This window comes from Homo sapiens, chromosome 1 (assembly GCF_000001405.40).
Source record: "Homo sapiens chromosome 1, GRCh38.p14 Primary Assembly".
Classification (NCBI taxonomy): Eukaryota; Metazoa; Chordata; class Mammalia; order Primates; family Hominidae; genus Homo; species Homo sapiens.
The window spans coordinates 144,075,394-144,086,685 of NC_000001.11; the positions used below are offsets into that span (position 1 = coordinate 144,075,394).

At 47.2% G+C, this 11,292-nt stretch overlaps 1 pseudogene; it reads left to right on the forward strand.

Moving 5' to 3' along the window:
* Positions 1-10,219: 10,219 nt before the first annotated feature.
* IGKV1OR1-1 (immunoglobulin kappa variable 1/OR1-1 (pseudogene)) lies at positions 10,220-10,960 on the forward strand (annotated as a pseudogene).
* The last annotated feature ends 332 nt before the right edge of the window (positions 10,961-11,292 follow it).

Genomic DNA, 11,292 nt, shown 5'->3' on the forward strand with positions numbered 1-11,292 from the left:
ATTCACAATGAACTCCTGTACTTGTTTTGTTCAGAGAAGAGATGGTTCTGAGAGAATGACAGTGAACCAACCCCAGCTGGTTTAGTTGGTGCTTTCAACTGCTGCTTCTGATCAACTCCTTTAGCTAGAATAAATTGATGAGGATTTTGGCATGTGGTATTAGAGATGGTTATTAATTTTTTCCTCTTATTTGCATTGTTCAATGTAGTAAATACTAGCTGCTACTTCAATTCAAATTAATTACAATGAAATATACTTAAATGTTGAATTTTTTAGTCACTGTTGGTTCATTATTGAATATCTTCAGCTAAGATTTCCCATCTAAATACACTAAGAGGTGGCTTAGTTAACTGGTCGTCCACAAATATTGAAGCTGTTGTTAACTCCTGATATATTCTCTGCAAAGAGAATATTCATGAGCCTCCTCCTGAAATCAGCAGCCCAGAGATAGTTTTATAAATTGGATACAAGTTGGAAATCTATATACTCTTTCAGTTTTTGAAATATTAGCTTCCCAGGGAAGAAAATCAAATTCATAAGATATGTTAGGACAATTTAACTCAAGATGTTCAAAACTGAAATGACATGTTCTACAATATGTGATAAAACCAACCCCTAACAAAGCAAAACAGGGATTGACCTTAAAGACCTGCCTTTTCCTCATGCCCCAGCCAATCAGTTTTCAAATCTTGCATTTTATTTTGAAAGGTCCTTATCCCCCGGTCTCTTGTTTCTAGACTTCGCACATATTTAAGTTTGTTACCTCTATCTACTGTCTTTTCTCTCTTCAAACAGTATCTATGCCTGCCAAATGTGAACATACAAAAAACAAATCAGAATATGCCATTCTGATTTAAACTGCTTATTAGTTAATACCCTCAAGATAACATCTGGGTTCTTAGCTGCAATGAGTCAAGCTTACTTACATCTTTTTTTCTCTTTGGCTGCACATTTCCTATCACATCACACTCCAGCAATACCAAACTGTGCCGTCCTTCTACCCCATCTCCACTATTTTGCCCCCCACCGCCGTGGCTTTTCGCCCCCCGCCGCGGCTTCCCCCCCCCACCCCCCACCCCGCCTCGGCTTTTTGACCGCCTGGGCTTTTTGCCCGCCGCGGCTTTTTACCCCCCGCCGCCGTGGCTTTTTGCCCCACTGCCGCCGCGGCTTTCTGCCCCCACCCCGCCTCGGCTTTTTGCCCCCACCCCGCCTCGGCTTTTTGCCCGCCGCGGCTTTGTTGTGACCCCCCTCGCCGCCGCGGCTTTTTGCCCGCCGCGGGCTTTTGCCCCCCGCCGCCGCGGCTTTTTCCCCACGGCGGTTTTTTGCACCCCCCCTCCCCCCCCGCCGCCTCGGGTTTATGCCCACCGCGGCTTTTTGCACCCCGCCGCCGCAGCTTTTTGTCCGCCGCGGCTTTTGCGCCCCCGCCGCCGCGGCTTTTTGTTGCCGCGGCTTTTTACCCGCTCCAGCTTTTTGCCCCACCGCCGCCGCGGGTTTTTGCCCGCCCCGGCTTTTTGCCCGCCCCCGGCTTTTTGCCCCCACGGCGCCTCGGGGTTTTGCCCGCCCCGGCTTTTTGCCCACCCCCGCCGCCGCGGCTTTTTGTTCCCCGCCACCACGGCTTTTTGCCGGTCACGGCTTTTTGCCCCCCCGCCACCGCAGCTTTTTGCCTCCCCCCGCCGCCGCGGCTTTTTGCCCTCCCCCCGCCACCGCGGCTTTTTGCCCCCCCCCCCCCCGCCACCGCGGCTTTTTGCTCCCCCCCCGCCACCGCGGCTTTTTGCCCGCCGCGGCTTTTTACCCCCTGCCGCCGCGGCTTTTTGCTTGACGCAGCTTTTTGCTCCTCCCACCGCTGCCGCTTTTTGCCCGCCCCGGCTTTTTGCCCCCCACCCGCCGCGGTGCCGCGGTTATTTGCCCGTCGCGGCTTTTTGCATCCCCGTCGCCGCGGCTTTTTGCCCCTTTTCCGCCGCGGCTTTTTCCCCGCCCCGGCTTTCTGCCCGCCTCGGCTTTCTGCCCCCCGCCCCCACGGCTTTCTGCCCGCCGCGGCTTTTTGCCTCCGCTGCTTTTTGCATCCCCGCCGCCGTGGCTTTTTGCCCGCCGCGGCTCTTTCCCCCCACCGCCGCGGCTTTTTGTCGCCGCGGCTTTTTGCCAGCCGAGGCTTTTTATCCTACGCCGCCGCGGCTTTTTGCCCGACCCGGCTTTTTGCTCCCCCGCCGCCGCGACTTTTTCACCCCCGCCGCCGTGGCTTTTTGCCGCCCCGGTGCCGCGGTTATTTGCCCGTCGCGGCTTTTTGCACCCCCGTCGCTGCGACTTTTTGTCCCCCTGCCGCCGCGGCTTTTTGTCCCCTGCCGCCGCGACTTTTTGCCTCCGCGGCTTTTTGCCCGACCCGGCTTTTTGCCCCGCCGCCGCGGCTTTTTGCATCCCCGCCGCCGCCGTGGTTTTTTGTCGCCGCGGCTTTTTGCCCCCCTCGCCGCCGTGGCTTTTCGCCCCCCACGGCTTTTGCCTCCTCGCTGCCACAGCTTTTTGCCCCCCGCCGCCGCGACTTTTTGCCCCCCTGCCCCCCCGGATTTTTCCCCCCTGCGGACGCGGCTTTTTGTCGCCCCTCCCCCACCCCTCCCCCCCCCCCCCCGCCGCCGCGGCTTTTTGCGTCTTTGTGCCCCCGCCGCCGTGGCTTTTTGCCCGCGCCACCACTGCTTTTTGCACCTTTTTGCCCCCGCCGCCGCGGCTATTTGCCCCCCGCCGCCGCGACGTTATATGGTTTTTTGCTCCCACTGCTTTTTGCCTCCGCCACCGCAGCTTTTTGCGCGTCTCGGCTTTTTGCCCCACCAGCGCCGCGGCTGTTTGCCCCCTGCCACCACGGCTTTTTCCCCGCCGCGGCTTTTTGCCCCCCCCGCCGCCTCGGGTTTATGCCCGCCGCGGCTTTTTGCCCCATGGCCATCCTCAGAAGTGTGAGTGGAACAGAGTGAAGGGAAAGCTGTTTTCTTCGAAAGCTCAAAAATCTTGAACTTTCAAATAGGGATAAGTGTTATTTTTGCTCCAAGCACACATTTGAGAAATCTTCCATTTAGCGGATCTGATGATAAACCCACATTTTTGTTTGTTTTAATCTGAAAATGTATTTGTATGGTTCTTGGAAATATTTTTTTCATATAAAATTATAGTGTATCAGCTTATTTCAAGTTTTATTTACCATTTGATAATTACTCCTAAAATGTCATTGATTAAAGAAAGAATCATCTATTGCTCCAACTGCCCTTTACTAAAGGTAATTTGTCTTTTTAACCTCATCAGGCTCCTTTTAAGCTCTCAAACTGACCTTTTTTTTTTTTTACAGATTCAATGCATTAAGTCAATTTATTACTTATGATGAATTTATTTATGTATTTATTTTCGCTATCACAAGTAGAAAAAGCCTATAAGTTGCTATGCCAAAAACCTGCCTCTAGATGGCAAACAAACCCCGCAATACACAAAAGAGAGCCAAATTCTTAGAAACCCTGGGAAAGGAAGAGGGCTACTGTCCCATTAACAACTTGGAGCCCTTAAGCCAAGAATGAGGTGGAACATCTGGGAGGAGACACAAGGGTGCGGAGTAGTGGGGAACCTGCTCTGTGCTCTGAGACTGAAAGCCCAGCCTTGCCTCTCACCGCTGCCTTGACTGTGTCCCCATCTGCTGTGAAGTGAATGGTGTCTTCTAAATTCGTGCTGAGCCCTAATTGCTGAAAACTGTAAGACATGCAATGGGGGGATTATGTGCATCTTCCCGACACCAACATGATGCTCAGGAAGGAGACTTCTTGTTTTCTCTTAGGATTCTTTTACTAACCAAGATTTTGCCTCTACTGCATATTTCCCTTTGCTGATTGTCCCTCCCTTTTGACAGAAGATGGCCCAGGGCATTCACTACTAAGTCTCAACCTCTTACCCAAAGCCCTCAGTCTAGTGTTGCTCTTTCCTTCGTGCTATTTTTGTTTCTTTCTTTTCTTGTAATCATCTTGGCAATAAAATAATCAGTTTTTTCTTTCTACCTATTAAAGATGTTACCTTAGTTAATTACAGGGGTTTCCTTCAGAATGATAAATGGTCTTTCAAAATGATGTAAAGAGATCTAAATCCGTGTGCTCCAGAACTTGAATGAAGCTCTGTCTAGCACGGGTGCCAGTGACTCTCCCAGAGTGCTCCATGCAGCTGGACCCACAGAGTCCCTCTGTGCTGTCATATCACCCACTGCCTTCTGTGAATGAGATATTCTGATTAGAATCCTGGTGGATGCTATTTGAGCCAGTGCCCCCACAACTCCTACGAAAGCCGAGGACCACAGGCCCCTGAAGACAATCACAGGTCTCTAGACTCACAGCTCATGACCGTCCTCTGCAGACACAGCTTCTCCCCGGATGGCTGAGGGTTGTCATTGGCTGTGTCCTTCCTTGTGCATGACAACAGGAGACATAGAAGGTCTGTAAGCAGCCCTGCAAGCCAGGTTCTGAGCAAGCCCTCCTGTGTGGGGCCCTCTTACCTGGACATAGGTGTGTAAACCAAAAATGAAACTCTAAGCTCCCTAACCAACTGAATGAACTCCTCCTCTCAGCCAAGCACACACCAAAATCAACCTGAAATACAATGCAGCCCATGATCGGAACGGATGATTGGATATGCCTTAACTTACCCTCTTCCCTTTAAAATTCAGGCACAACTGACCAGCTTTTAATATGAAGACAGAGACCTTGAGACTGACAAAGAAAACTCTTTATAGCAATAAGATACCAATGTGACAGATACCACGTCCTAAGAGAAATCAAAGTATTTTCCCCAAGATATTGTTATTTAATGTATTGAAAAATGCCTCTGCAAAGCTGGTTCTTGTGGGAAAAATCTACATTCTGTAGAGACTCCTTTTTAAGTCTCTTTCCTGACCCAGAGAGATTTAACTAAGAGTTTGGCACCTTTTAAGTCTACTAAGAAACAATTACAATCTATTCTCTCTGAAGCCTGCTACCTGGAGGCTCCATCTGCATGATGCAACCTTGGCTCCAAAACCCTTTTTCTAAACCCAGAAACTCCCTTGTGTTGATTACAGGTCATTAGATAAACTCTTTCAACCACCTATGAAATCTTTGAATCCACCTATAACCTGGAAGTCCCCAACATCCCCCCTCCTTCGGGCTGTCCTGCCTTTTCATGTCAAAGCAATGTACAGCTTACACGTATTGATTGATATCTTATGTCTCCCTAAAACGTGTAAAACCAACCTGTAGCCCGACGACCTTTGACACACGTTCTCAAGACCTCCTGAGGCTGTTTCACTGATATTTCTTTAACTTTGACCAAGTAAATTTCTAAACTGATTGAGACTTTTCTCAGATACTTATTTGTTTATAGGTATCACTGGATACACTTAAGGAATTGAAGAGATTTATGACATTGAGAAAAGGAGGAAGCCAGGGTGTGTGGACATAGAGAGAGAGAGAGAGAGAGAGAGAGAGAGAGAGAGAGAGAGATTGTGATGTATGTACAGGACTAACACTGAGACCTGGTTATGTAATGGTGTAGTACTGAGTATCATCCCCAAATAGTGAGGTTTCATTCCATGAAGACTATGCATGTATCTCATTTGGGAAAACAGCTTTTGCAGGTGTAAATTAAGGAGCTTGAAACAGGGAGATGGTCTTAGATTAATCAACTGGGACTTAAATGCAAACTCAAGTGTCCTAAAAAAAACAAGAGGTAGAGAGACATTTAGCATAGACTGAAGTGGAGAAGGCAGTGTGAACACAGAGACAGAGATTGCAGTGATGTGTCCACATCCCGGGAGAGAGAAGCCACCAGAAGCTGGAAGAGCTAAATCAGACTGCTCCCTAGAGCTTCAGAAGGAGCCAGAACTGATGACTCCAAGATCTTAGCCCAGTGAAACTGATCTGGACTTCTGAACTATGAGAGATTCCATTCCTGTTGTTTGAAGCTACCACATTTTTGAGAACTTGTTACAGTAGCCCGAGGACACTAACACAAATGGGCTCCAGGAAAATCCAGACTAAAGGTGTTGTGTTGGTTTGCAATCTCCTTGCTTAACTTTCTGATACTAGACGTAAATAGATTGGTGAAAAATTTTGTGATTGAAGAAATGTACATGAAACCTACAGTGTACAGAGAAGCATCTGTTAGTTATAAGATAAATACTGATAATTTTAGTTGAAAATGACATATGACTGTTAATATCTCACATAACATTCTGAGTTACTCAAGAATGCATAAAAGAGGCACTAGATACTCTTCTCATGTATGTGTGTGTGTCTGTCTATACATGGATGTACACTTCATGGTGCATCAGCTGGCGGAACCCTCAGGACACCCCTTCACATCCTCAGTGCCCCATTTCACACATGAGGAAACTGTTCATGACAGCACATGGCTGATTTGCATAAAAGTCACTTGGTCAGCAGTTGTCGAAGCTGAAATTGGAATCTAGGTCTGTCTGACCTTAACTTATGTTCCTTCCACAGAGCCACGTTCATTCCATAGAGGGACCCACCACCTATAAAACCAGAAAAGAGACAAAGCCAGAAGTGCAGGGTGGATTTCTTAACACAAGCTCACTACGACCTCTAGTCCTCATCACGCTGACACTAAGCTTAAACCCAGACCCTTCTACAGTTTTGTCTACAAAGCACAATTTGCCCAAAGCCTTTACAAACACCAACAGCCTTTCTTTCAGATATGGCAGCAGGGTCACATCTTACACGGCCCTGACCACATTTTGTCTCCTCTGCCATCCCCATCTCTCTGACTCAGTCCTCGCTTGCAGCCATGAAAAAGGATGAGTTCATGTCCTTTGTAGGGACATGGATGAAGCTGGAAACCATCATTCTCAGCAAACTATCGCAAGGACAAAAAACCAATCACTGCATGTTCTCACTCATAGGTGGGAATTGAACAATGAGAACACTTGGACACAGGAAGGGGAATATCACACACCGGGGACTGTTGTGGGGTGTGGGGAGGGGGGAGGGATAGCATTAGGAGATATACCTAATGTAAATGACGAGTTAATGGGTGCAGCGCACCAACATGGCACATGTATACATATGTAACAAACCTGCATGTTGTGCACATGTAACCTAGAACTTAACAATAATAATAATAATAAAAAGAATGGGTCTTGTACATCCAATTTGCCCTATGAATGTTAAAACAGCAAACCCGCATCCCCTTCCTCTTCTCATGTGCTGTGAGAGATGACCTCCAGGCTCTCAGATACCAAGATTGTACAAGACCTAACCCAGAGAATTACTCAAGACACTTTCTACGTAAGAAGAATTGTGGTACTAGCTCTCCTCATAGAAAAATGTTTTCTGTCTCTTGTTGAAATTGACAGCAAACACAAAAACACAGAACTACTTGGGAGAACAGAGGACAGTGATACACTAGGGAAGTAAAACACACCCCTTCCCCTTGCATTGGTTTCCTGTTGCTGCTGTAACAAATTACCACAACTTTACTGCTCCACATCACACAAGTGTATTATCTTACATTTCTGGAGGTCAGAAGTCTCAATGAAGTAAAATCAAGGAGTAATAGGGCTCTATTCATTCTAGGCTTCAAGAGAGAGAATCCAATGTCGAGCATTCCATCTTTCTGATGTTCCCACATTCCTAGCAGCATGGCCCCTTCCTCCATCACTCCAGTTTCCCTGTCCATTGTCCCAGGTCCTCTCTGGCTGTTACCTTCCTCCCTCCCTATTGTAAGGACCCTTGTGATTATGATGGTCTCACCCAGATAATTCAGGATATTCTCCTGACCTCAAAATTCTCAACCATGTCTGCCAAGTTATTTTTGACTTGTTCATAAGTAATGATCATAGATTCCAGATATTAGGACAATGATGTCTTTAGTGGGTGTATTATTCATTCCACAAACAACTCTCATCATCCACACAATGGCCTTCCCCTAAGGTAGAATAAAAATATCACAAGGCAGATTTATGAGGCGATCGACCTAGAAAAAACATGAGACTCTAGGACTGTCTGATGTGTGGATGTCAAATCCTGGGAGATTCTGAGCCTCTGCTCTATGTGGACTCTATATTGTGTAGCCATTTGTGGAAGGCTTCTGTGATTTTGTGACCTAGAGAAAACGAATCTCTGCTAAAATCAAATCTAAGAAAGATTGGCAAAGGGAATTTAAAGATTTCCTAAATTTTTGGAATTTCCCTAGGCATTAAAACATGAGAAGTGGCAATAATTCAAACCAACGATGCCCTCCAAGAATGAGGATTTTTCCAATGCATTAGGTTGGGTCCCCTCAGTGAGAAGGATGCCAAAGATTCGCATGCAGGCAGTATATTTACAAAGTGCGGGAAACAAGCAAGTGAGCAAGGGAGGGGAGGAGGGAAAGGGAAAGTGAAAAGTGCCTCAGAAGGAGCCACCTCTGAGGATGACGAGCGCTCAAGCCCACATAGAAACACAGGAAAAATGCCTCTGTTATTCCACCTGAGAGGTGAGGGAGCTGGGGGATGTGTACACCTCCCTTGTCATCACTGATTGACAACCGTCCTAGGGGATGCTAATTCCAGGCCATGAGGTCTGCCTCATTTGCAGCCTGAGCTGCTTCCCCAGGTTCAGATAGAGCAGTGAAGGGGAGAAAGGGCCATAGAGAGTCAGCTGAAGTATAATGTCTAGAATCCCCAAGGCATAGTAACAATGACTGCTAAAATTATGCACAAAGAAAAAGTGCATTTGAATCCAGAGATGTATCTCTCTGAATCTGGATATATGGATCCTGGCAGCCTGTTTGGTAGCCATTTCCCAGAAATCCAGTCCTCTGGAAAAGCAGGAGGAGGTTTGTGCATAGGCTGCACTACCTTGGTCTGGCCATGCGTAGTCGTGCATGAGAACTACTCCCTGGAGTATTTCTCAGTCCACTGACACTGATGTAATTGGCTCCACTTCCCCTGCTGTTGAGCCAGGCCGACACGCCCTGGGCAAAGGCATCTGTGTGAAGTATTGAGGTTCAAATCAGTGCTTAAGATATGTTTGGATGCAAAACACTTTTTCATCTACATGGGCAGTGTCTTGGCAGAGGATGGAGATTCTCTCTAAATGCATGTGAGACAGGGTGGCTGGCATCTGGGTCAGGATGATGCCCTGGTGCATGGCAAGAACATGCCTTGTGCAGCAGCTGCCCTCGCTAAGGAGAGAGGCTCACTGACCTGGCTTTTCCCCCTCACCTGCTCTCCAGAAAGCCAGACTCTAGGGCAGATGCTCCTGAGACCCCAGGAACAGGCTGGTGGGGAGCGCAGCTCAGAGCATTACTCAGGGGATGTGGCCTTTGTCATCCTACTTTGAAACAATTGACTATTTGGGCCTAGATTGATACAGGGCTTCAAGTTGATTTTAATCCAGGCTCCTATAGTCAGCGAGTGAAACAGAGATTTTAGTTGAAATAATGAGACCTGGTATTACTAGTCAGCTCTCCATGCTGGAGAACCATAAGAAATTATACCAAAGGCAGGAAAGGGGATAGAATATGGGGATCATCACACCAAGAATAAGGTGCAGCCCATTTAGCCCCTGGGTCTTAAAGAGACCCATAGCTCTGGATAATGGCAGATCTATGCGTGACACAGTTATCATCTTTGTGCATCTTCAGAGAATTGTTTTTCCTTTTACTCCTAGGGACAATGTCTTAAGTTTGTTAGTAAATTCTATTGAATTTATTAAAGATGCTTCTGATAAATTCTTTTTATATTCATTTCAAACAAGAAGCAATTTCACACTGACATTGTTATTATAGCACTAAATACTTTTACACTCATCAAATTCCTTTGAGACTAACTGAAATTTCTGACAGCCCCACATTCTACAACTTTATTGTAAATTTTCTGCCAAAAATGATGCTTTCCTATACACTCCTAATACAAGTATAAATATATTATTTAATCTAGTCTTAGGTTGATTTAAAATTTTGAAAATTCACTCCAAACATATGTTCTGTAACCATATGGCCACCAATGAGAAATGCATTCTTTCAAGGTAAATCTGTGCTGCCCTGGTTTGACCTGGGACTCTGGGGATACTGCGCCCCTGTGCTGAGTTACTGAGATGAGCCAGCCCTGCAGCTGTGCTCAGCCTGCCCCATCCCCTGCTGATTTGCCTGTTCCTAGAGCACAGCCCCCTGCCCTGAAGACTTTTTATAGGCTGGTCACACCCGGTGCAGGAGTCAGCCCCAGTCAGGACACAGCACAGACATGAGGGCCCCCACTCAGCTCCTGGGGCTCCTGGTGCTCTGGCTGCCAGGTAAGGAAGGAGAACACTAGGATTATACTCGGTCAGTGTGCTCAGTACTGTCTGGAACTTCAGGGAAGTCCTCTGATAACATGATTAATTGCGACAATATTTGTTTTTATGTTTCCAACTTCAGGTGCCAGATGTGACATCCAGATGACCCAGTCTCCATCCTCCCTGTCTGCATCTGTAGGAGACAGAGTCACCATCACTTGCCGGGCGAGTCAGGGCATTAGCAATAATTTAAATTGGTATCAGCAGAAACCAGGGAAAACTCCTAAGCTCCTGATCTATGCTGCATCCAGTCTGCAAAGTGGGATTCCCTCTCGGTTCAGTGACAGTGGATCTGGGGCAGACTACACTCTCACCATCCGCAGCCTGCAGCCTGAAGATTTTGCAACTTATTACTGTCAACAGAGTGACAGTACCCCTCCCACAGCGTTACAAGTCATAACATAATCCCCAAGGAAGCAGATGTGTGAGGCTGGGCTGCCCCAATGCTCCTTCCGGTGCCTCTATCTGCTGAGGGAAGTTCTCAAACTCAGTCAGGTTTGGAAAGTCATTGGGAGATTTTCCTAGAGGAGGCCAGGGAGGTTCCTCTGAACCCTAAGCCTCTTTCACCCTCATCCCCAGCAGAAAAGATGTGACAATGCCTGTCCTGACTGAATAAAGAAGAGAGATAAGTCCAACTGAGGAGTCTGTGTTATGGGATAATCGGAATTTGTACAGCAAAAGAGAAGCTATTCTCAGTATTTCAAGGAGAAATTATTCAAGTTGAATAAATTAGAGCCTAAACCACAGTCTTTCCGAAGCCTATGGAATGTTATTCATGAAGCAGGTACTAGACACAGGGGATTCTCAGGTGCTACTTCAGAAGCCAGGGTGCACCTGCCCCTGGTGGTATGTGCTGAACACCGTGTGATGATCCTCAGTCCTGTCTGGGAAGCCCAGGTCTTCCCAGACAGGAATGCTTTGATAAATCCACTGCTAGGTAGGTAATTCTTCTGTAACATTAATAATT